The 27,262-nt window shown below is 40.9% G+C and overlaps 1 protein-coding gene across 6 annotated transcripts in view, besides 1 other annotated feature; it reads right to left on the bottom strand.

The window, feature by feature from the left end:
* Positions 1-26,962, bottom strand: part of LHFPL1 (LHFPL tetraspan subfamily member 1) — a 49,291-nt gene extending 22,329 nt beyond the window's left edge. Inside the window, exons 1-4 of one of the 6 annotated variants that reach the window (XM_024452370.2) lie at positions 26,853-26,962; positions 18,033-18,671; positions 7,651-7,749; positions 490-784 (exon numbers count right to left, since the gene is read on the bottom strand). In XM_024452370.2, coding sequence (XP_024308138.1) covers positions 741-784; positions 7,651-7,749; positions 18,033-18,483 — 594 coding nt within the window. In that variant the 5' untranslated portion in view covers positions 18,484-18,671; positions 26,853-26,962 and the 3' untranslated portion in view covers positions 490-740. Of the gene's footprint in view, positions 1-489; positions 785-7,650; positions 7,750-18,032; positions 18,867-26,852 lie in introns of those variants that run through there. The other 5 variants (NM_178175.4, XM_011530943.3, XM_017029485.2 and 2 more) reach the window with 5 other exon arrangements.
* Positions 15,665-16,310: an enhancer, noted in NCBI's record as "OCT4-NANOG hESC enhancer chrX:111911869-111912514 (GRCh37/hg19 assembly coordinates)". NCBI's record gives its function as "activates a minimal SCP1, AML or CMV promoter by ChIP-STARR-seq in naive H9 embryonic stem cells {active_cell/tissue: H9 hESC(naive)}" and the evidence as "EXISTENCE:reporter gene assay evidence [ECO:0000049][PMID:30033119]".

The following is a 27,262-nucleotide window of genomic DNA, read 5'->3' on the forward strand; positions in this document are numbered from 1 at the left end:
GGATATAGAAAGATTCAAACATATTGGTAAGGTTTTATTTTCTAACCTGGAATTCAAATCCCACCTCTGCCACTCTACCAGCTGAGTGAGTGAACTTAGGCAAGCTACATAACTTTAAGTAGCTACTTAATCGGTAATAGGTACGTGGATGTTCATGGTATTACTTCATATCTTTAAAAATATTTGAAGTATTGCATAATAATTCTAAAATGTAATTAATATGAAGCCTATGCAAGCATTCAATAAATGATAGCAATTATTATTACGTAATGATCACAGCACCTAAGTAATGGTTGAAAGCTAGGGCAATGGAGACTCCCAGGCCTGGGTTTAAATCCTGGTTCTGCCAATTACAAGCTCTGTGCCCTGGGGTAACTTAATAACCACCTTCTCAAGAATTTTGCTCCTTCAGTTATTCCCTCTCTAACTGTCATCAAGGTTTAAGTAAAATAATGTATGGGATATAGTAAATGCTCAAAAACATATTAATTATCGTTAACATCATTTTTATTCTCCTCAATCCCATGCACAGAAAAAAGAAAGAGTTAGGAACAAGTGAATGGAAAGGATAAAGTGGGTCTCCTATTCTCTGCTCCCTCCCTTTCTATTCCTTTTCCTTGCTGAAGGAAGATGGCATATGCTGAAAACTGTTCTCTCCAAGAGAAGCAGCATGAGGTCCTTCGATGGCAAGCCTGCCTGGGAGTTGGAGATGAGCTGCTAGAAAGGGCTTTGACTCCAAGTTAAAATAGACCAAGGCAAATCTCAGGAACATTCTCATCAGGGTCTGAAATCAAAGTAGACTTAAAATAAATGGATAAAAGTTAAGAATTTTTAAAGAATTGTAATTGCAAATTAGACACTGTTACCTTTTAAAGTTGCTAGAGTTGAATATATTATTTGAAATGAGCAATAAAAATGAAATGTTATTTAATCCTTTTCATAATTATTGAAATGCAGATTAAAAGAAGATACCAGAGTGGAAGAAACTGAAATGTTGACAATCCACAAAACTGAGGAGGCTATGGGACATCAGGCAAACTCACATTGTGGGTTGGAGAATAATTTAGTACAGTCTCTTTGGAGAGCATTTAATTCATCAATGACTTCTGAAAATTTAAAATAACCATTAACCCAATCATTCCACTCCTAGGAATTTGTCCTACAGATAAACTAGTATGCTAAGACATATACATAAAGTTGTTCCCTGAAATATGTTTTGGAAAAGCCAAAAACTGGAAGCAACCTAAATGTGCATAAAGAAGTGGTTAATGATCATATGATTCAATCATTCAACAAATATTCAGTACTATTTGGTACTCTTTAAGCAGGCACTGGGGAGATAGCAATAAACAACACAGACAAAAATCTATGCCCTCACAGAGCATGTTATTATGTTATCCCTGCAATGGAAAAATATGGCATACCTAAAATATAGAAGGAAGATCTATAAACATTGATAGGTTTTCAAGAGATATGAATAAGCGAAAAACGCAAGGTGCAGAACAGTGTAGCTAGATAGATAGAGAGCTAGATAATATGATCCCATTGGATATTGGAACAAATATTGGAAAAAATATTTTATATTTATTAAAAATTATATTTATATTTATGTTTATATTTATTATTTATATTTATTAAAAATTCTGGAGAATATAAAAGGAACTTAATGGTCATTTTGGGGAATGGTATCGAGGTCAGAAAAAAAGACTGATTTTAAGTTTTAAACCTTTATATATGTATTGTTTTATTTTGTCACATACATGAATTATTTTTATTTAAAATAACGATCTGAAATATGGTTTGGCATTTTTCTGGTTATCCATTGTTGTATGACAGACTACCTCAGAGCACAGCAGCTTAAAACAACCATTTTATTATATCTCATGGTTTCACAATTGTTCAGAGCTCAGGTGGGCAATTCTTCTACTTTAAATGGCATTAACTGATGTCATTCAGTGATATTCAGTTAACCGGTATGGAGGGTTCAGAACAACTTCACTCACATGTCTAGTGCCTTGGCAGGAATGGCTGTACTAGCTGAACTTTTCTGTCTTTAAGTAACTCTTGGAAATCCCATGTGGTCTCTCCAAGATAGTCAAACTTTTTATATGATGACTCAGAGCTCCAAGAGACCAAGAAGGAAACTGCAAGTTCTTTAGACCACAGGCCTAGAATAAGCTTGATGTCACTTCTGTCATACTCTATTTATCTTCTATAATGAAGCTAATTAGAGTATTAAGTCTAATGATCCAATTAGATGTAATTAGATTAACTTAAAGCAGCTGTACACCAGTGAAGATTTGGGGAATAGGAATTGGAGACAGACCCAGCTTCTCTATGGGAAAAGTATCAAGAAATTTGTGGCTATCTTTAATCCAATGCAGACATCAAGATCAGTGCCTTAATATAAGTTGTATCTTTGATCATTCAAATTAGGACTAAAAAATAGTGTGGATGGTTTAGGATAACTTGAATGAAAACCTAAGAAAAGATAGGTTGAAGACATGAATGTGATCTCTTCATATAGGAGGCTGCAGAAAGCCTATCAGAGTAGCAGAGTGGTAAATCCTTTTTACTTACTCTGATGGATTGATAATGCCCGCCTCTATTCTCCTCCCTACCTTCTTCATCTCTCTGAACCATGTCAGGGTAAAAAGCTTATTCCTCTGGTAGGGACCATGTCTTTTCTTTTTTGGCTCTGTGTATCTCCCTTCCCAAGTAGCTGGGACTATAGGTGAACATCACCATGCCCAGCTAATTATTTTTATTTTTTGTAAAGAGAGGGTTTCACCATGTTTCCCAGGCTGGTCTTGAACTCCTGGGCTCAAGTGATCCATCCACCTCAGATTCCAAAAGTGCTGGGATTACAAGCATGAGCCACTGCACTCAGCCCAGAACTACTCATTTATGAACTAGGTCCTTAGGTGGTGATTAGGGCAAAAAACAAAGTTGGTAATCTCCATGCAAATCACATATCCAACTTTTTACTTTGGCATTTTACCTTAATCAAAGTAGAATCATAGGAACTCATTCTGTAAAGCCAATATTACCTTAATACCAAAAGTCAATGAACACATCACAAGAAAAGAAATATACAGGTCAATATCCCTAATAAATATAGATGCAAAAGCCCTTAACAAAATCGTAGAAAACTAAATCCAGCAAGGTATAGAATGAATTATACACCATGACCAACTGTGATTTATCCAAGAAATGCAAGGTTGGTTTAACATATGAAAATCAATCAATGAAATGCATCATATTGAAAGGATAAAAGACAAAAATTACATGATTATCTCAGTAAATGAAGAAAAGGCATCTGATTAACTCCAACACCCTTTCATTGTGAACACAATCAGCAAACTAAGAATAGAAGGGAACTTCTTCAACCTAATAAAGGTCCTCCATCTATTAAAAAAAAAACATAGCTAACATCAATGCTTAATGATGAAAAACTGGATATTTTACCGCTAACACCAGTGATAAGGATCTCCATTCTCACAAGTTCTATTCAACATTGTCCTGGAGGTTCTTGCAAGGGCAATTAGGCAAGGAAAACAAGCAAAAGACATCCAGATTGGAAAGGAAGAAGTAAAATTGTCTCTATTCTCAGATAACATGATTGTTGTATCTAGAAAATTTTAAGGAATACACTTAAAAGTTATTAGAATTAATAAAGGAGTTCAGCAAGGTTGCAGGATACAAGGCCAACATGCAAAAATCATTTGTACATATACTCCTCAATTTACAGTGGGGTTACATCCCAACAAACTCATTGTAACTTAAAAATATTGTAAGTCAAAAATGTATTTAATATGCCTAATCCACTGAATGGAATAGCTTCACCTAGCCTACCCTAAAGGTGCTCAGAACACTTATAATGTTACAGTTCAGCAAAACCACTGGGCAACACAGTATGCTGTAGAGTATGGGTTGTTGGTGCCTGACTGAGAGCTGTGGCTCACTACTGTGGCCCAGCATCTCAAAAGTGTATCATACTCCAAATCTCTAACCTAAAAAGAGGTCAAAATTCAAAATTAGAAGTACAGTTTCTACTAAATGTGTATCATTTTTGCACCATTGCAAAGTTGAAAAATCATAAGTCAAACCATAGTATGTTGGGGGACCATCTTTATTTCTGTATAATAACAATAAGGAATCTTAAAATAAAATAAAAGCATAAAACAATTCTGTGTTAATAGGCCTGCTTTACTTATTAAAAAATAACAATAAAATACTTATGAACAAATTTATCCAAATAAGTGAAAATGTTCTACACTGAAAATGACAAAACATCATTCAAAGGAATTCAAAGTGACCTAACTAAATAGAAAGTCATCTCAGGTTCATGGATTGGAAAACTTCATATTATTAAGGTAGCAATACTCCCCAAACTAATCTACAGATTCAATACAATTCCTATCAAAATATCAGCTTGATTTTGTGTAGAAATTGACAAGCTAAATCTAAAATTCCGATGGAAATGCAAAGGAATCAGAATAGCCAAAGCAGTATTAAAAGAGAAGGAAAACTCATACTTCCGATTTCAGAACTTGCTACAAATCTATGATAATCAATACAGTGTGGTACTGGCATAGGAATACACATATATATCAATGGAATAGAACGAAGAATCCAGATATAAACCCTTACATTTATGGACAATTGACTTTTCAACAAGGATACCAAGACCATTCAATGAGGGGAAATAATAGACTTTTCAAGAAATGGTGCTACAACAACTGGATATTCACATCCAAAAGAATGAATATGGACCTATATCTCATACCACTTTCAAAATTAACTCAAAACAGAACAAAGGCCTAACTATAAGAGCTAAAATTATAAAACTCTTAGAGGAAAACCTAGGGGTAAATCTTTTTGATGTTGGATTTATCAATGTATTCTTAAATATGACACCTAAAACAGAAGCAAAAAAAAAAAAAAGAAAAAGGAAAATAGATAAATTAGATTTGATCAAAATTATTTTTGTACTTCAAAGAATGTCATCAAGAAAGTGAAAAGACAACCTACAGAATGGGAGAAAATATTTAAAAATCATATATCCAAAAAGGGTCTTGTATCCAGAACACATAAAACAATCTTACAGCTCAACAACAACGAGGACAACAACAGCAAATAACCCAATTAAAAATAAGCAAAGGATGGCTGGTTGCAGTGGCTCACACCTGTAATCCCAGTCCTTTGGAAGCCGAGGCAGGCAGATCACTTGAGGTCAGGAGTTCAAGAATGCCTGGCCAACATAGTGAAACCCCATCTCTCCTAAAAAATACAAAAATTAGCAGGGTGTGGTGGCAGGTGCCTGTAATCCCAGCTACTCAGGAGGCTGAGGCAGGAGAATCACTTGAACCTGGGAGGCGGAGGTTGCAGTGAGCAGAGATCGCACCACTGCACTCCAGCCTGAGTGACAAAGTGTTACTCCATCTCAAAAAACAAAAAAAAAAAAGAAAAAAGAAAAAAAAAAAACCAAGCAAATGATTTCAATGCACATTTCTCCAAAGGAGATGTAAAAACAGCCAATAAGTACACAAAAAGATGTTCGAAATCATCAGTCATCAGGGAAATGAAAATCAAAACCACAATAAGATAGCACTTTACTCCCACTAGGACAGCTATAACAAAAAGTGGAAAATAAGTATTGAGGAAGATGTTGAGAAAATTGAAACCATTGTACATTGTTGGTGGGAATGTAAAATGATGCAGTCATTCTGGAAAGCCTGGCAGTTCCTCAAAAGGTTTAAACATAGAGTTAATATTTGACTCAGCAATTTTGAGATATATACCCAAAAGAAATGAAAATATGTCCACACAAAAATGTGTACACAAATATTTATAGAAATATTATATAATAATAGCCAAAAAGTAGAAACAATTCAAGTATTCATCAAATGATAAATGGATAAATAAAATGTGTTACATTTATACCATGGAATATTATTCAGACATGAAAAGAAATAAAGTACTGGTACATGCTACTACATGTATACATCTTGAAAACTTCTCGCTCAGTGAAAAAGCCAGACACACAAAAAAACACATATTATATGATTCCATTTACATAAAATATCCAAAATAGGTAAATCCATATTGACAGTGGTTACCAGCAGCTGGGAGCAAAGGGAAATAGTCACTGACTGCTAATGGGTAAGAGGTTTCTTTTTGGGCTGATGAAAATGTTCTGGGGCAGGGTGCGGTGGCTCCCTGTAATCCCAGCACTTTGGGAGGCAAAGGTAGGCGGATCACCTGAGGTCAGCAGTTTGAACCATGGCGGAAACCCCTCCTCCACACCCTGTCTCTACTAAAAATACAAAAATTAGTTGGGCGTAGTGGCGCGAGCCTGTAGTCCCAGCCACTTGAGAGGCTGAGTCAGGAGAATCGCTTGAACCTGGGAGGCAGAGGTTGTAATGACCTGAGATCGCACCACTGCACTCCAGCCTGGGTGACAGAGGGCGGCTCCATCTCAAAAAAAAAAAATTCTGGAATTGGATAGTGGTGATGGTTAGACAATGTTGTGATTATACTAAAACCCGGTGATTATATGCATTAAATGGGTACATTTGATAATATAAGAATTATATATCAACGAAACTGTCATTTTCAAAAAGTAGAATCAGTCCCACAACCAACTAGGAAAAATTTGCTGAATCTTTAGCTTTTACCCCAGCTAGCAGGACTAGTGGCTTGCTTCCCTTTCTTCAACACCTGCCCCAAGTATTTACTCATTCTTTTATCTATGGCAGAAATATTATGTTTACCAGTCAGCCTTGTCCTGAGTGAAGAACACTGGACATTTGAGCATCCACACTAGTTACACCTTCCCTCATGTTATGTTTGCACAGGGAACAACTTTCTCAAAAATGAGTCAAGCAAGACTCAAAAATCAATCTGAGGCAACAGAGAGAAAGGGAAGTATTGGAGCACAAGCTATATGTGGTTGGATGGCCTTGTTGTTCCCAAATCCTTTTGTACAATTGAGAATACCCAAGGAAACCTAGACATTCCCTCTCCTACTCTCTTTCATCATGATAGGTGGGGGAATATTTCTGAAGTCTTCCAATTAGAATCTAATATATTATCAACTCACAATAGTGAACCTGAGACATTCTCAGTGAAAACTGGCAACCAGAGAATGGTTCAGGGCTACTTCTGTCACCTACTCTAATATTTAACAGCTCTTGCCGTTAGAAACAATTTTGAATATTTATCTAGGTTCCTCATGCTTCAGGTAAACTAAATAACCTCGTGTTACATCTTCAGTGGAGATTGACAAACGATACTGTTGACTTACATTTGAAAAATGGTGCCTAGAAGGAAACACCAGTAGGAACTAGGATTTATTCAGAAGATGGCAGATTGTTAGTCTCCAAGCATTTTAAATCCCTCTGAAGATAGGGTTGCCCTAAACTGGTCATAGGTCCCCGGGCAAAACTGCATAAATTGTATGGAGAGATAGTTAAAGAAGGGGAATTTACAGCCAACTCTTGTGAGTTAAGCTACCACTTCCCATAAGCTAACACAGTGAGAGAGATTCAGGCAAGTACCACTAGCAGAGTGCCCTCCAAGTGGTAAAGCACTTTGGAAAACACATTTCCCATGAACCATCACTGCCATCTGCCCAGGCCACCTTACCTAACTGAAATTGATTGGAGACATTCCCACATGTTTGCATTATCTCCGGGCTATTCCATCCTAAAGGGTATAAGGCACAGCCTGAGCTTATCAGCAGCCCTAGAAAGAAAGCATACACACAGACAGAAAAAATATAACGTCTTCTGTCACCCCAACATTCCCTTTGGATTAGTTCAGCTCAAATTCTGCCTCCTCAACTGAGCTTACACTTCCCCCTTTACCCTAAATTTCTATGAGAGTACCAACTCAACAGGATTTTATTTTTGGCCATGCCACAGGTAGTGGAGTGTAATAGGTAGCAGAGGGGACAACTCATAAATTTAAAAAATGTTGAAAAATGAGACAGGCCAATATACTTTTTACAGCCAAAATACTTTTGTCAATGACTTACAAGGCTGGGTTGGCTTTTCCAACCTCTTTTGCCTTGGTCTGATACACAGAGAATAACAATGTAAATGTTACTACTCTTTCCCAAAATCCAGCTGTTTCTAAACATCAGGCAGGTCCCTACCAGCTGAAAATATGTAATGATTCCTGTAACTTGGAGTCAGCTGCTGGACCGATGAGCAGGGAACCACACTCCTCCCCCGATAAATCATTCCAGCTTTATACCAAGCAGTCCTCCCCTCTTTGGTTTCCATATGCCTTACACCATGACGCCTTACGCTAAATAAAAGGATGAAGGCCCTTTTATTTAGGTTTTTTAGTCATTACAGGGAAATTTTGTTGTACCTTAGTGATAATCTTATTCTTCCAACCAGAGATACAAATCTGGGTCTGCTTGCCAACACTGCCTTCTAAGGGCAACTATGTTGCTCACAACTTTTTCTTGCTGCGTACGTTTTCACATTTTATATCCTACGGCTCTTACCCTGCCTCTGGCCACAGAGGATTGTATCAAGCATTGGCATCTGACAACTAAGACAAATTCATTGGCTGGTCAGTGATGGGTGACATTGTAGCCTGGCATGAAGAGGTGACCTGGGCTAGTTTCTTGTTTCTGGAATTTTTAATTGAGAAGCATAAAGATGACTGGTCTGAAGGTAGTGAGTTGTCTCAATTGATTGTTCACAGTCAGTTATGGATTGAACTTATTGTTCTACTCTTTCCCCGTTCTCACTACTGCACTTGACTAGTCTGTTTAAAAATGGAGGGGAAAAAATCATAAAGATGCTGAGCTAGTTAACAGATAATGCAGAAGTTGAAAACAACCCCACAACACCAGAAGGTAGAATCAAGTCTGTGTCAAGCTAAAGCCAAGTTCAATTCAAAGTTATGAGTGAGTATCAATTCTGGATAAGCTGAGCAAACTGATTGGTAGAGGGAGAGAATAGAGGAGAATAGTGACATGAAACAGACATACCATGAGAAAAACTCCATACTGTCAGTGAAACTGCTAGAAAAAAGAGAAGCCAGGCCTTCCTGATGGCTTTCCAAATCTACTTTCCTTATGTTATAATAAATTCCCTTTTCACTGAGGCAACTCAAGTGAGTTTCTGCTACTTGCAACCAAAAGAGCCTAATTACAATCACGCCATACTTGGGTGCCACACTAATGAACATGGGAGGGACACTTGTCATGAATGTGGACACAGAAAGTAAGACATAGCACAGAACCATCACAAAGCAGCTGCTTGATCAATGGTGAATGAATAGCATATTTATAGGTTCCAGAGCTCTGGGGCTCAACTGGACAGTGAAAAGCGGGCTGCTCTAGGGACTGCCAGCTTCATCTTCACTTCTCTTTCCTCACTGAGGAAGAGTCCATATATACTCTAAGAAACTCATATTGCCTTCAGATGAATCCTTTAGGAAGATCTCAAAGTAGCCTCCAAGCTTGGCTGCCCCACGGCAACTAGCTTTTCTCAGTACTCATTGAGGCCGCAGAAGAAGAGAAGGACCTTAAGAAATAGCAAGAAGGATTTAAATAAGAAAATAGGGAGAATTTACTGACAGTGAGAATGGTTTTAGAAACTAAAACAATGACCAATTAAGGTTAGAAATTCTCTTCAGTGGAATGCTTAAAATTAGAAAGCATTCTTATCTGTCTCGTGGTATCACAGGAAGTGAAACTGGTCACTCAAAGACCTTTCTAGGCCCTGGAATTCATCCAGTGGCAATACAACAACACCCCCTGTTTTTTCCACAGATAAACTGAAATCCTAGGATATGAAGAGGTCGTCCAGAGTACGCACATTGGGTTAAGGACAAAAGTAGAAATGAAACCTAAGCCTTTTCCTGCTGCCAGTATATACCCTTTGAGGGAAAATTTAATAAAGACTGAGTTTTCCCACACAGACTAGGAAGAAAAGAACACAAGTTTATAAAAGAACACCAGCTCTATTTTCTAACCTTCACATTCAGATCCCTGGGACTGGCACGAACTCTGCCTTCTCAAGCGGAAACTAGAGCTGGCCAAGTGCCTTTCTTGGCACAGTAGAGGGAACCTTCCATCTTCTTCAGACCCCTGCCCCTCAGATCTTACCATACTGAGGAGCCCAGGTCAAGGATTTCCTTCTCCAGGAAGTCTTCCCTCGCTATCCCCAACCCCCAGGCTAAATTACACGCTCCTTCTTTCTGTTCCCATAGCACCCAGTGCTTACTCCTGTGACTAAAATAGCCTGTAATATATATTCTTTACAAAAGTTTATCATCTGCCTCCCTCACTAGAGTGTGTATTCCTTGAAGGCAGGAGACATACTTATCTTCAATTCTGTGTCCTTGGCACATGGTAGATAATAGGTACTCGATAAATGCATCTGTTTCAGAGTATGCACAGTCTATATAACAGACAGCTTCCTTTGCCCACACTGCCCAAGGGGAAAGTCCCTTCTGAAGGGACTTCCATGTCAGGGCTGGGAAATCATCCCAGACATCTGACACCATAAAAAAAAAATAGAAAGGAAAACGTTTTTGGACATAACCTACGCTAATCTCTCCTTGTTACAGATGTGAATGTTGAAACACAGAAAGGGAAAATGATTTACCCAAGGTCACATAGCTAGTAACTAGCAATGCCCTTTTTCCCCGATCAAAGAGATCATCAACAACCCTTAGAGGCTCTGTCCTTCTAGAGACATGTGTCCTGGGATGATTACCTCTTGGCAACAATATCTCTAGCAAGGCACTAGGAATTTGCTAGGCATTAGATTGAGAGTTGCAGCACAACATGGTGGCTTAAAACAATGGGTTCTGTAGTCAGACTGCAGAACTAGACCTGAATTCAAATTCCAGCCCTGCCACCTGAAAGCTGTGTGAGTTTACGCAAGTTACTTAATTTCTCTGTGCCTCATTCACCTCATCTGTAAAATCAGAGTAATAATAATACACTTGTCCCTCGGTATTCACAGGGGATTGGTTCCAGGACCCCTGCAGATAGCAAAACCTGTGCATACTCAAATCCCTTATACAAAATGATGTAGTGTTTGCATATAACCTAGCACATCTTCTTGTATATTTTAAACCATCTCTAGATTACTTATAATACCTAATGCAATGTAAATGGTATGTAAATAGTTGTTGTATTCTTGTTGGATTTTTAAAAATATTTTTGAGTTATGGTTGGTTGAATCTGTGGACACAGAACCTACAGATACGGAAGGCTGACTGTATTTTATGGAGGTGTTCCAAGAATTAATATACATAAAGTGCCTCGTACATAGCAAGTGCTCAAGAAAAATTTATTATTCTTATACAGCTGACTCTCCCTGTGGCTCCTCTCCCAGTTTCTACCTGTGTTCTCCATGCTAATTTCTTCCTCATCTCTTTAACCTCATAACAAACAGCTAAAAAGTCAAAACCTGAACAGGGCTTGATTCAAAAGCTGCCTTGTTGGAGTTATCTTGCAATTTTGCACAGGTACCCGCTGAAAGAACAGGAATCTCTGCAAAGCATTTGTTCAGGTCTAGTGCATGTAGCTCCGTGCTCTGCCCAACCTGCCCTCCCACCCCCGCCATCTTCCCCAGTACTCCATCCTCCCTTTTAGACAGGTGAGCACATTAGGTTGTAAACATACTTCATGGACATATTTGACTTGTAACTGACAGCTGATTCCATTACATTTTATCATAGCTGGAGAAAGATGCCCCTGGGAACACATTAAAAATAAAAATGGATTCATAGAGTAATTCATTCTCAATTATATTTGTCTCCAGCAGTTCTCATTAATTTGGAGTTGTGAAGATGTGCTTCAAGTAGCAACAGGGAAGTCATTTACAAGTGTCAGTCCCTGCCACCTTCTGAAAGAATGGAGGTTCATTAAAAATGTGGATTCTTGGACCTCAGCCCCAGGTATTTGATTCAGTAACTGCAGCCCAGGAATATGCATTTTAAAAGCACCCTGTAATGTGGACGTATCTTGTCCTGGTACCAACATTTAAGAAAAACACCACTAAAAATGTTAAGAGCAGAAGCTCTGGTGGCAGAGAAAACTTGTTTAAATCCCAGCCCTGCCACATATGAGCTGCAGCCCTGGCTCTCACTTCTCTTCTGTGTCATTGCTAACTCCCAGTTTGACTTCCCCTCCAACCACATATGCCCCTTGAAGAAGTCTGTCTCTTTTTTTTTTTTTTTCCTTTTTTTTGAGTCGGAGTCTCACTCTGTCACCCAGGCTGGAGTACAATGGCACGATCTCCGCTCACTGCAACCTCCGCCTCCCAGGTTCAAGCGATTCTCCCGTCTCAGCTTCCCTAGTAGCTGGGATTATAAGTGCGTGCCATCACACCTGACTAATGTTTGTATTTTTAGTAGAGACGGGGTTTCACCATGTTGCCCAGGCTGGTGTCAGACTCCTGAGCGCAGGCAATCCACCTGCCTCGGCCTCCCAAAGTGCTAGGATTACAGGCGTGAGCCACCGCGCCAGGCCTGAAGAAGTCTGTTTCAACTGCATATGCTTAGCTGGGAACTTTTCTAATCTCACATGCCTCTAGGAAGGAAAAGAAAGCCTTTAGAGTGTGTTACTGTCTTTACTCCCCTACTACACGTGGGAAGATGTCCAATAGGCTGCCATTTTGTTTCTCTTCCTCAGCTGCTCCCCTCCCTAAGAATCCCCTATCACAAAACATACCAAATGTTCTCCCCGACATAGTTGCCATGGTTTGAATTTACTGAGCTGACCAAGAAGAGGGCTGGAGTTAGACATTTTATTCAGCTTCAGCCCTTGTGGAAACTGGGACACCAATACACACCTTCAGGTGCAAAATCTGAGACAGAACTTGGAGCCCTCCTTCCAGCCACACCACAGCTGCCTTCAACTTTCCCCTGTTCCCAGCATTACTAATTGCCCATATCCCAGCTGCTATATAATCCTCTCCCAACTACACATTCTCAAATAGGTAGATGCCTAATCTTTGTCTTCTGGCAGGGATAACCTCCTCATTGGGTATTACCAACTCCCTTTGCACACCCCTCCACTATTCACAAGTGCAACTGTTGGGTGGGCATTTGTTAAACTTCCTGCTCTTGTTCTCAATTCCCTTGTCTTTGCATAGCTGCCAATCCTACTTTCCAAACATAATTATTGGGTAGCTTGGATTTACTGCCCTGAGCAGAAGCCTAGTATGGGTTAATTTGTTATTATAACAACTTCGACTCAAACACAAACCAGTGGAAAATTTACAAGCCTGACTTTCAACTATATCTCAGCTTTCCCTTCCTAGGGAGTTCCTTCACTTACCACCCCCCCAGCCCCCGCCATTCATTCTACCCCATATTCCTCTTGGAGTTACAGGATCGTTCATATCTGCTAAAGATGTCAAAAGTAGATCAGGGAAGGCTTCACAGAAGGGCTGCATTGGACCTGGCCTTTGAGAGATAGGTAGATATTTACAGGGAGGGATAGAAGAAAAGGGAATTCCAGAAAGAAGCAACACCCTAAACAAGGCTGAGCAGAGTTTCTCAAATTTTAGTGTGTACTGGAATCATGATAGTGAATGATAAATAACAACTCCCAGACAGTTGTTACCTTTTCAGTGGGGACAAGGGAATGTGATCAGGGTATAAAGGAGGCTTCAGCTATATTGCTAATATTCCATTTCTTACACAGAGTAGTGAGTACATCTGAAATATTTCATAATATATTTTCAAAAATATATGAGCATGAGAGGTTGTGTAATACGCACTTTAGCAGGCACTGGTGCAGTCTGCAGCACTAAGGAATCTGTAATAACAAGCACCCCAGGTAATTCTTAATCCAAGCGGTTCATGGACCACTGTGGAAAACACTGTGATAGCATTTCTTTTCCAAAAGAGAAAAGAAAAAAAATTCAAGAGCATCAGTGTATGAAGCACAGGACTGAGAGTCAGGAGCACTGGACCATATTCCCAGCTCTGCTCCAATTTGCTACATAAGTCTTTGCTAGTGGGTTAACTTCCTTGAATACCACTTCCCAAACAGAAAATCGCTTTCATAATCCTTTCTCAGCATGGTAAGGATAAATAAAATGATATCTGGTAAAACTCTGAAGGACTTTCCAGGAAAAAAATAGTTTCCAGAGATGATGATGGTTTTTAGAAACATGGCACTCTTCCTGAAATCAAGTTCTCAGTGATATGTCTCCAATGGCAACTTTTATTCAGTTTGAAGCATGTAATATTAGGACCTTACATGGAGAAAAGCACTGGTGTGTTGAATGCTGTTCTCTTAACAACAAAAAAATAATGTCCAGGGTAGTGATCCTCCCTTAGGCTGGGGAAAGGGAACACACATACACATCAAAGTCACTGGGGAGATTTGACTAAATATGCAACCTTACACCTGTTGTTGTGTACATCAGAATGGGAAACGAGACCAGAGAGTTGGAAAGCTCACATTTTTAAGCACCCCAGGTGATTCTGATACATTCCTTGGTCGAGAAAGATTCTTGGCCTCCCATGAGTAACCTGATTCAAGATCTTACATTGTTTTTCTGCCAAGAAGTTCCTTATGTGTACTACTCACCTATTTGTTCTTTGTTTAGCTCTCACTGAAGATAGAGGATCTCATAAGCATCTTGCATATGTATAAACAGGGGAATGTGAATAGTGGCTATGTTCTCAGGGACTGGGGGCCAGCTGTTTAGAAATCTCAGCATCCCCAGTGTTGACATAATCTCCTGGCCAGGTGTTTCCTTCATTGATTGGAGCAGGGCATGGAGGTCCCAGTGGAAGGCTCTCTGGACCCTGGGCTTATCCAGATGGATCAGCTACAGGTGGAGCAAATGGGACCCATGGGCCCCATCAGGTCACTTTGCTGAGTATGAGTCAGGCCAGCAGCTCTTTATTTCTTCCTGTCTCTCCCACTTCCCACCACTCATCTCTGTGGGCAGCCGCCAAACTGGGGAGCAAGAGTCAGGCAGGGGAAGGGGGTAGTTCTTAATGGATACTCCATCTCTTCAGTGGTTTGGGGTCTGGCAGAGAGAAACCAGACCTGACAAAAATTGACTACTCCCCCAATGTATTTCGGTTAATGCGCTAGCTGCCAAGAAGCAGCCAGACCTGAAGCAACAAAATCAATTCCCCTCAGCTACACAAGTTTGAACTTAATCCCCCAAACTCTTTCTCTTGTGTCTTTATCCATGGGGCCCAAAATGCTGCCCAGCCTTGGTTTCCTTCCACTGGCAAAGCCTGTCTCAGAAGGTCAGGCCGAAGATGTCCAAAGATCCTTAGGTCACAGTCATATGTCAAGGGGCTCCTAGTGAGTTCATCCAAGCAACCCTCACCATTCTTTCACATCTGATATAACCTGGACAGCCACCAGTCTCTAGAAAGGAGGCAGGAATGGTTCTTAATTGGCTGGTGTTACAGATGGGGAAGCTGTGGAGGTCTAGCGATCTGTCCCAATATCAATCCCCTGCCCAGGGATAAACCTGATAGCACACCCAGGGTCTTGAAGACTTGTAGGACTACTGCCAAATGGCATTTTCTTCTTCAGCTTTAAAGACCCTCATCTACATGTGAACACTGTGACTATGTTCCTATGAGCAAGGCTCACGTGGATATAGAATGGCAGAATCATGTGAAACTAAAATGATGCTCGTGTTTTTATTTCCTCTATGTGACACCTGCCACTCAAAGTTCTGTCCCGCCTAACCTGTGAATATCCAAATCTCCACTACCTTCCTACATCCCCTATCAACAATTTCCTTTGAGTTTCTATACCTAGTAGGTGAAATCAACTGAAATGCATCATATGGAGAATTATGAATGCTTTGTGAAAGTCTCAGTTGAGCCCAAAAGAGGAAGCAACCTGGGGGTATGGGAGCCACTTTAATGTGTGGAATCTGATGGAGGCTGTTGCTAGGCTTTCTGATTCCTGACAGTTAGCCCCTCCTCACTCTGCTGGAAACTCTTAGAAATACAAGTGAAGCTAAACTGTCACTCTTTTGTCAGAAGAGAAGAGAGCTCAGGGTGCTAACAGCCCTGCATGGAAGCCTGGAAAAAGAGGAAAGGATGTGAACTAATCCAGCTCTCACATATTCAGTTTATCCCAACATATGCTAGATATTGCCTTAGCCATGCATTCATTCTTTCTACAGTTACTGAACATCTGCTTTGTGCCAGCCAGGCACGGAACTGGGCTCCAGGGCTATAAATATGAATTGCAAGGATGACCCCTCTGCCCTATCAGCCAAGTGTCACTTCCTGAAATAATGTGTTCATAGCAGTGCTGAGTTAATTATAGCGTGTTTAAAAATAAAAGTGAAAGGTAAGCCTAAGACCTATTTGTAATACCCATGGAGCTTCCAAAGCCAGCTAAGATAATTGGCTTAGATCAGCCTTAGCAACTGGTTTAGTATTACAGTTTTCAAAGGGAAGAAACTAACTTAATTGTACATTCCAATGTGGCTAAAAACCCATCAGTGGCTAAACGGTGGGAAAAATTTTAGAAATGACGGAGGCTAGAATGGTAATTCAGATTTAAAACTTTTACAGCTAGTCTGAGAAAAGAGGAAACCAGAAAGCATCACTTTAATTGGTATCACAAACAGAATCTGATGCTTTTCATAATCAAGCCAGGAAAGCTTGGTAGCCTAGCCCAGGGTTTCTCAAACTTAGAACTATTGACATTTTGGCTGGATACCTCTTTGTTGTTGTGGGTGAGTGTTGTCCTCATCTTGTGCATTGTAGACGTTCATCACCATCCCTCACCTTCACCCACTTGATGTCAGTAGGACCTTCCCCAAGTTGTGACAATTTAAAATGCCTTCAGACATTACCAAATGTCTTCCAGGGGGGAGGGGCATGCAAAAGTAGTCCCCATTGAGACCCACTGTCTTAGCTCATCACTGCCATCTCACTCCAAGGCCACATGAATGCAGTCATTGGACAGAAGAAAGAAAGATCAGATCTGGGCTATATCACCAGGGGACAAATTCAAAGGAAGTGAAGCATAGGAAAAGTCATGTCATTTTCCCACTATGGTCACAGAGCAACTTGGTGAAAAAAACAGAAGTGAAATCCAAGTTTCCTGGCTCTAGTGACCCACACTGTCATGCTAATGGAGATAATAATGATAATGAATTGGGTAATAATTCTAAAACTCTGTAACAACAAACTTCAGCAGTAGATTCTACCAGCACTTTTTCCCAGTGCCCAATCTAGGTTTTGCAAAATACTCAAATATTCACATATATGTTTTCCTGTCTTTCTAAATTTGTTTTTTCTTCTCAGACAGTTCAAATTATACAGCTGTCACTGTCTTCCTGAAGTCTGCCATTTTTGCATTTTGCTCTTTTCTAGCCAATCCAGACACTGCCAATATCTCAGGTTCCCTGCACTAAAGTTAGGGGGAGCCTGAATGAGGGGAAGGACAAGTAAGGTGGGTCAAGGTCACAAGAAATCTGGGTAGACTGCTAATAGCTGCCAGACAGGGCTAGCCTTAGATGTGGTCCAGATAAGTAGTCATCTACAGTTTTTGTGGTACACAACATTTCACTATTAGAGGTGTATTTCTTTGATGAGAACTGTTAGTAATTTGCACCTGTGTGTATGTGTTTATTAGATCACTGTTCTCTGAGATAACTACCAGAGAGCAGGGCTCCTAGAAATTAAGTTTATGTTGGAGCAGTAATACTACAGTGTATGTTGCTGACTCTGGAAGGCAGACATATTAATAGATAATGTTTTTAAATGGGCAACCTGCAGGCAGATGAAGGTGACAAAAATAGAGGGTAAACAACAGATATCAATTCTGCCTACTAGCCAAATTTGCTGTGAATAAAACTCTGATATTGATTGCACTTTGGGAAGTCCTAGACTAAATATTTTAAAGGAGACTTCATTCATAGCCTTAGAGTTGGACAAAGTGAAGGGGGTGAGAATGGGTTTCCCCATAAGGCTACACTCCCCACTCCTCCCTGCCCCAAAGCTACCCAACCTACCCAATCCCAGAAGCACAGTCTTACCTCCAACAAACTGCGCTGCTCCCATGCAACGTCCCATCATTCTGGAGATGAGCTCCTCCATGCAGCAACCCAGGACAGCAGCTAGTGCCACCAGGAGCAGCAGAGCACAGCCGGCACCTGTCACCACTGTGCACATCTGCCAGGCCAGGCTTGGGATGGCATTGAAGCTGGCATAGCGCCCACATTCTTCCACCATGATCAGACTGTGTCCCTCTCCCCGCACAGGGTAGTTGCACCTCCGGAATGTGCTGAATGACACTGGCTTCCCCATCTGGGATCCAAAGAGCCAGTAAGGTAGGAAGTAACTGGTAGAACTGGTCACAGCAGTAACAAGGGACAGGAAGGCCCAGAGGGTTCCCACCATGGTCAGGCTGCTCCTCATGGTCACAGGTTTCTCTGCAGGGATGGGGAGATGAGTTGGATCACAGCACCAAATGCAGTAAGTTACCATGTAGGCTCCACTGGCCTATTTTTCATCTGGTTGGCCAGTCCTGGGGCTCAATTATGTGCCACTTGGTCATTGCTTCTGGATAAGATTATTCTCTCGAGGACCATTTGGATCCCTGTGGGATTTTGCTTTTCAGTACTTTTCCCACCTTCCCTTCCTTCTGCCTGATTTAGAGTTCTATGGTCTTTAGGCTGCAATGGAGGAACCAGATAACTGAATTAGGGTCTGCTCTGCCAATTCAAATACAGCCGGATCAGACAGCTTTTAACTCTTGACATACATCGTGGAACAAGTGGCAGGAAAGGAGCCTAAATGAAAACAAGGTTGCTGTCCCGGCTTCCAGCTGAATGGACTTCCTGGCCTGGTAGCTTGGAAGGAGGCAATATCTGAAGAGGATCAGGAGCAAAGTTGTTTTCAGTGAGTGAAGGAGAAGGAAGACAACTTATCAAGACCCGCCCCTACTATAAGGGGTGAGAGGGAAAGAGACCTCGCCACAGAGTTACAGGTTGTTCCCATTTGACTTGGGTAACATGTCCAGCAGTGTGTTAGTGCGCGCTTTTCAACTGGGATGCATCAGCCAGGTTTAAATGGATAGAATAAAATAAGGAGTGTCTAGTCTCATACCCTATACTTGTCACTGAGAGAGCACTGATCAGTCACTTTTCCCACAATCAAAATGGGAGGCAACTTTCCAACCAGGAGAGGTTATCTCTGGAATGGCTATTAAGAAAAGCTTCCTTGTCCTTTGCTGGATATAATCCAAAAAGCTTCTCAAAGTTCTGAAATAGATCAGGATCAGGCACTCCCTACCTTGCAGCAGGAACATATAGCTGTAAGGACCTTTCAAGGTCCCTTTTGGAACAAGTAATCTTGTAATCAAGACGCTGAGAGTCTTTCCAGATCTAGTTCTTCAGCTCAGCTCACAAATGGTTTTCACAGACCCCTCTGTCAAAAATCAACCACTTTCCTCCCAACTCCATTAATCTGCCATTGCTTTCTGGCCTGTTTCTCTATTGGGCCGGCTAGAGACCACACTGCAGCTTGATGACAGCACTGTGAATGTCTCCAGCAGGCAGATGGTGGAATATGTTTCAAAAACTTCTCCATGATTCACCACCATTACTTAAAGTTATATGTGGTGGTGTAGAGGACTGGGAAGGAGGTTGGGGGACCCAAAGCAGGGGAAGCGCAGGAACTGGCTGTATGGGGTCATCGCCACATTGCCAATTTTAGACACTGACAGGAACAAGCAGCAGAGGCACTAAGTGTCTCAGGGTCTCAGTCATGAGCCCTTTCACAACCATTGTCAAACAGTGCCTGACACAGAGCAGGCAGTCCATTTCAAGTTTGTTTAGTGAAACCCATTTCATAGAATCATTCAATTTCCAGATGGGTAGGGAACTTAATGAATCATTTAATCCAACCTTCTTGTTTTACATATGGGAGAATTTTGCCCAGTAAAGGAGGAAGTGATTTTCTTCAAGTCACAGAGTAAGTTAGCAAGCAGCAACATCAGAACCTGAAACCTGATCTGCAGATGCCTAGGCCAGTACTTTTCTACCACACAATGTTAAACTACCCCCTCTCCATGACTTTACAGGTGGGAATATGGAGAGGAAGTGATTTACTCAAGGGTGAAGGGCTAGTGAGGTACACTGGCCAGATCAGAGCCCAGTTATTTGATTCTTAATATAATGCTCTTTTTTTACTCAACCACAATTCCCCTATTGATACATATGTATTTTGTGCTACGTGTTTTGTGCAGGAAGGGAGCAGAGATCGTAAATTGCAGGTGCTTACTCTGGAATGTTAGGGCTTGGGAAGAAAGTGCCCTGAGCTGGGCCCCTGGGAATTAGGCTTTGTGGCTGAGAATGGGAGAAATGAGAGAAAGATGTGATGAGGGATTGAAAGGCAACAGGGGGAGAAGTGGAACTAGTTTTGAGTAATTGCTGTTAGACAGCAGGTATGGTTGGCCGCAATGAGGTAATGCCTCTGCTTGTTGTATTAGAGTTTGTAAGATTACAAAAAGTGCAAGCAGCCCTCCATTACAGACTCATTTCCTGATGAAGCAGCCCAGGCCAGAGGAGGAGAGGAAACAAGCTGACAAACAGTTATTAGCTGTGTCATCACAATCCCTTCCAAATCCATTATTATATGTGCTCTGCCCAACGGTCTTCTTAGGTTAGTAAGAAAGATATTATCCTAAATTTACAAATGAGCAAATTGGGCTTCAGAAAGACAAGCGACCTACCCAAGGGTACACAGTGATTCAACGGCAAAGCCATAATTTCTCACTTTTCTTTTACCTGAAGCCTTCCCCTACAGTATTACCCCAAAAGTATTACAATTAAAAGCCTCCATGATTTCCCATAGAGATTTTCAAAAAATATTGAAGACAGAAGGAAACCCAATTTCTCCAGACATAGTGCAAACACCATCAGGGCAAGTATATAATTTCTTTCAATCTCAGCACTTGTAGTCAAAACTAACTCCGAATGTCCCTCATGGACATCATCACCTGGAGATGAAAAGTCCCAGTATGAAGCAAAAAGAACAAATCTGGAAGCATCATACTACCTGATTTCAAACTATACTATAAGGCCATAGTCACCAAAACAGCGTGGCACTGGTATAAAAATAGGCGCATAGACCAATGGAACAGAATAGAGAACCCAGAAAAACCCAAATACAGCCAACTGATCTTCAACAAAGCAAACAAAAACATAAAGTGGGGAAAGGACATCCTTTTCAACAACTAGTGCTGGGATAATTGGCTAGCCACATGTAGGAGAATGAAACTGGATCCTTATCTCTCACCTTATACAAAAATCAACTGAGGATGGAATAAGGACTTAAACCCAAGACATGAAACCATAAAGATTCTAGAAGATAACATTGAAAAAACCCTTCTAGACATTGGCTTAGGCAAGGATTTCATGACCAAGAACCCAAAAGCAAATGCAATAAAAACAAAGATAAATAGCGGGGACCTAATTGAACTAAAGAGCTTTTGCACAGCAAAAGGAACAGTCAGCAGAGTAAGCAGACAACCCACAGAGAGAGAAAATCTTCACAATCTATACATCTGACAAAGTACTAATATCCAGAATCTACAACGAACTCAAACAAATCAGTAAGAAAAAAAAAATCCCATCAGAAAGTAGGCTAAAGACATGAATAGACAATTATTAAAAAAGATATACAAATGGCCAACAGATATATGAAAAAATGCTCAACATCACTAATGATCAGGGAAATGCAAATCAAAACCACAATGCAATGCCACCTTTCTCCTGCAAGAATGGCCATAATCAAAAAATCAAAAAACAGTAAATGTTGGCATGGATGCAGTGAACAGGGAACACTTCTACACTGGTGGTGGGAATGTACACTAGCACAGCCACTATAGAAAACAGTGTGGAGATTCCCTAAAGAACTAAAAGTAGAACTACCATTTGATCCAGCAATCCCACTACTGGGTATCTGCCTAGAGAAAAAGAAGTCATTATTGCAGCGACCTGGATGAGATTGGAGACTATTATTCTAAGTGATGTAACTCAGGAATGGAAAACTGAACATCATATTTCTCACGGATATGTGGGAGCTAAGCTATGAGGATGCAAAGGCATAAGAATGACACAATAGACTTTGGGGACTTTGGGGACTTGGGGGGAAGGCGAGGGATAAAAGATTACAAATACGGTGCAGTGTATACTACTCGGGTGATGGGTGCGCCAAAATCTCACAAATCACCACTAAAGAACTTACTCATGTAACCAAATATCACCTGTACCCCCAATAACTTATGGAAAAATAAAATTTTTTAAAAAGTCCCAATATAACAACCAGTAGGAGGGGCAGAGAACTTAAGGCAGAGGAACGGACTATCTCTGTGTAGTGCCGTGACTACAGTAGAAATGAGGGGAGGGGTTGTAATATATGGTTGTCCTCACCTGTGACAAATGAAGCTGTTAAATTAAACTACAATACTATCAACTACTGTCACCATGATTTCAGTTTAAAAGCGACGTTTTGAAGCCAAGACATAGGAAGACAAATTCTCAAAATTCAATTTAAATTAAATGTGTTTAGCTTTAGAAAAACTCATTGTCCTTCAGAATTTAGATGAAGTACTTTCAACTTTAGGAAAAACGCATAGTCCTTATTTCATTTATGACTAGGGTGACCAACTATGTCAGTTTTCCTGGGACTCAGGGGTTTCCTGGGATGTGGAATTTTTAGTGATAAAACCAGGAAAGTCCCAAAAAACCTTGGATGAAATGGTCACCCTATTTAGGACTAGAGATGTTGTGGGCTAGCACAATCCGTGGACAGCAGGTTAAGAATCACTGCCACAGATAATTCTCTAATATTCTCTTTTCAGGACTCAAACAATATAAAGTTAAAAGTGACTATGGAATTAAACATTGAAGATATGAAGCTTATACACTTTAAATGCAAACCTTTCTAAATCATCGACTTGACTTGAACGCAATCAAGAAAGAGATCTCAGAGATCCAATTACTTAATAGCTTCTGAACACAATATGAGTCTCAGCCCAACTTCCCTTGTGGCTGGATAGAGAGGCTGCAGGGCACATGGAGTCTGTTCACACACTGCTTTATGTTCACATGTGGTGGACAGTGAAGTGTATTCTAGAAAATGCTTTTAGTTATGCCACCTGCAATGGAGTAATCTCCTTCATGACAACCCTCCAAAGCAATCCAAGTTCATTCCCAGAAACCGGTTAAGTCGCTTTATATTTACATAACTAGAAATCACAAACAATGCTATATTTTATTCTATCTTAATTCCTGTTGTATACTTCATGTATGTAACAGCTTTGTTTCCCTGTCCTGGAATATCCAGCCAAACAGCCACACTGGATTTCAGGAACCAAGAACTCACCCTGATGCTCTTGTAGAGTGGTCAAGTTACCAGGCATTGATAGGATTGCAGTTGAACCTCTCTCTTTAGGTGTCACATTATCCCTCATTCCTCAGGTTTTTAAATCTGCTAGATGGGCCGCAAGCCTGTTTCCGAGATTGGTTGTATGAGATGCAGTGGATGTTGCCAGAAAGTTGTAATAAATAGGATAAAAATATGAGTTCTGTTCTGAATTTGCTATCCTTACTAAAGCCTAATGTTTGCTCATCTTTAGAGATAATGCTAGCCATTCTAGCACAGCCTCGTGGGTAGAAGTCACCTCAACCTATATGATGCAGGAAACCCACCTAAACCATACATGGCAAATGGTTATCTCCATTACTTTTAAAGAACTCTAGGAAAGGGAAATCTATAATATCTCTTAGTAGCTTAACAACTCTCACCGTCAATAAATAATTTGTTATATGCCTTTATAAACTTTTCTTGTTGCAACCTAAGGCCAGATCCTTTTGTTGGGTCCTCAGAGGTAATGGAGAACAGCTAGCCACCATCTTCCAAATGAGAGCCCTTCATCAACTCAGATTGCTAGCAGGAGACCTTTAGCCTTTTTCCCCATAATGAGCATTCTCCCTCTCCCTGTGGTGTCCAATTGCCAAGCCTTTAATCATTTGTTCTCACTTTTTTCACTTTCTTGTATACCTACTAATGTATGGGCACTTACAATGAAGTATCAATGAAAGTGAAACGTTGCTTTTATATTTCTCTTGGTGGAGAAAAACAAAGCTATTCCTTCCTGTATCACCTCCTCCCCAGTACCCACAGAAAAAGACACAAATCCTTTTGTTTCCACTTGAGCTTGTTGTGCAACTTCTGAGTTAAGGAAAGCACTGCCTTTCCCAGGGTAAGAGGGTACAGGCAAAACAGTAAGCAAATTAAAGACTAGAACATGAAGTGGTAAGAAAGGGAGTCAGTGACTTAACAGCTGCTGAGGGAAACATGCCTGCAAGACTGCTGGTTTAGGACTGGTCTGTGAAGAGCAGCTTTCTTGGCACTGGTGTTGGCAAAGGAACGTGAACAGGCCTTTCTCCTCACGCCCCCAGACAGTGTGCATTGTCTTCCTGCCAATCCTGTTACAAATACATCTTACTCAGAGTTGAGACTTCCCTAGGAAATGAATGAGATATGCAGGCATATGTTTCCAGTGGGTAAATAGAGTCCTGCTCCAGAGAAACGTGTTGGACCGATGTGACTCCTTATATCAAGTTGGGTATATAAGCAGCCTGACCATGCTAGATCTTTCTGTTTCAGACAAAGCTTCAAAAAAAAAAAAAAATACTGCTACTCCCCAAACATTTCTCTCCTCATGTTCTGCTACCTGTCTCCCTCAGGGGTTTCTTCTCCTCTGGCTATCTCCATTATGAGAAGTGCTCTGAGTTCTCCTGTGCCTGAAATCATCTCATGATGTACTCACTCATCTTGGTGACTCTAAGAAGATCTCTCTTTTGACTTGTGTCTTTTATTTCAAATTCCTCAGATTTCATGTTTGCTGAACTTCTTTCTGGGCCTTCTTCTTCCTTCCCTCCTTTTTTAGTTTGGGGTAGAAAGACCAGCAAAACTGTGTTGGGTGAGTTTATGTGTTTATTTGCATCTCTCCATCCAGAGGTGGGAATGCTCACAAGCAGGTAAGGCATTAAAAGGCAGGAAGCCAGAGACTAAGTGGAGAGAAAGGACTAACTGAGCAATTGATAACTTTGAAATGATCAACTCTAAATAAATATATTTGACCATGCAGAGACAAAGAGAGCTCATAAAAAGAACCTCCACATCAGGCCCTGGGCTATTTCCTTTCTCCAGAGTTTGAGACTGGAAAGGTAGGAACTGGAATAACCTCCCCAAATTTCATATGAGCTTCTCTCTCCTTCCCTCTCCCCAAGATGCTGCTCCTTGAGCTCCCCATCTATCCTATGATTTTAAAAGTGAGGTACCAATGAGAGATCTTCATCTCAGTTCTTATTCTGGCTAGACAGGTGCCATCATCTTCAGTGATAAGCTGGTTGGCTACGAGTTCTATCTCACACTCTCAGCTGGTTAGAAACTACCCCTATCAAGATCCCTGGCAAGACATTGTTAAGCCCTAAACCCCAGCCCTGTTATTGTTGCCCATTAGTCTCTCCACTCCATTGTATAAGCTGGGAATAAAATGTCACCACAGCTGACCACTTCTATTGAGTGAATCTGGCCCATATGGGAAGAAGATGGGCTGATTGCTTTTCCAATCACTTCAGAGAAGTTGAGAGGCAGCATGGTATATCAAGAATGTTTGTCTCAACAGAATCACTTTCAATGCTTGTTCAGAATCACTTTCAATGCTTGTTCAAAATGCAGACTATGTCACCCCCTCCTTGATTCACTGAATTCGAATTTATGGGAATTCATATTGTTAAAAATCCTCAATTTATTCTAATGGGAACTAATGATTGAGGAATACTGTTTTAGTGGAAAAGTCACAATTTTGGAATCAGATCAGAGACAGAGTCCTGAGGTCTGCCCCTTACAGGCTATATGCACATAAAAAGATCACTTAAAACCTCTGAGTTTTGGTTTCATTTATAAAATGGAAATGATTAAGCATAAAATTCAAGTGAAACATCTGCACTATACCTAACACCAGAGTAGGTATCAATTCTCTCCCTTTCTACCAGAAAAGACCCTATTCTCTCATAAGTAATGGAAAAGACTTGAAACCACCTAAGATTTAGAACATCTCTCCTTTCCCCTTTCTCTCCCCACAACCACTCCATGGGTGATTTTTCCTCACCCCTAGGCTTCATTCTATTTTCAGTTCCCCACCACAAAATGAAACCACTTGGCCAAGTGTTCTTTGCAAGAATGGATTTATAGTTTAAGTATTTCAGGTTCTTCTGGAAATTGTCATGCCTTGGCACATAGTAGGAACTCATAAATATTTACCAAATGGATGCATTCTTTTATTTCCAGCCTGAGAGGCCTCAATATTTGCATTTCAGTTTAACTTCATTACCCCATTTCCGTCGCATAACCCCTTAGATTTAGGCAAATCCAGGAGATCAACCTACCACATTAGCAAACCGGATCCATTTTTACTTGTATAGACAGGTCATAACAAAATCACTCTCTCCACTCCCAGAAACAGGCACTTCATCTCCTCAGGTTACCAACTCCCCTGGGGAAACCAACTAGCACTTAACCCTTAGGTCCTCAAATCTTGTCAATATGAAATAGGAATCCAGCCCTGATTCATCTTAGCCTCTGTGCAAACAACGGACTATGAAGAAATAAAAAAGCACCAGGCTGCCCTCGGGTAGAAAACGGCTTCTCTGAGCTTTGAGATGAAAGGACAGGAAACCTGAGAAAGGAAGGGGAGAAGGGGGGGCTGAGCAAGGGGAGAGCAAAGCAGTTTCTTATCCAGCTGTTTGAATTGCATTTGGCCCAAGTTGCATATTTACCTTCTGACCACGAAGGCTGACTGACTTGTTCCCTCTCTTCAGGCTCAGATCTCAGAAACAACTTCTCCTTACAGCTTGTTAGACAAGGATGGGAATACTAGCTGCCCTTTGCAGTGATGCCTGAAAACCTTGCTTTACCTTTGGGAGAAAGGGGCGGAGTCCAACCTAATGGGGATTAACTCCAAACACGCTGGAGGCTTCAAACCCAGCCTCAGACATACAGGCACTTGAAATAGAAAGTAGCTTAGTGGGCACAGAGTCCCCAAACCTCCAACCTCACAGCGGACAAAGCAGCTCTGTGTGTGTGTGTGTGTGTGTGCGCGCGCGCGCGCGCGCGCGCGTGTGTGTGTATGTGTGTCCGCGCGAGCGCGCGCGCATGCGCGCAGGCATGCCCGCGCTTGAACTGCGTT

Source organism: Homo sapiens, chromosome X, assembly GCF_000001405.40.
Source record: "Homo sapiens chromosome X, GRCh38.p14 Primary Assembly".
Classification (NCBI taxonomy): Eukaryota; Metazoa; Chordata; class Mammalia; order Primates; family Hominidae; genus Homo; species Homo sapiens.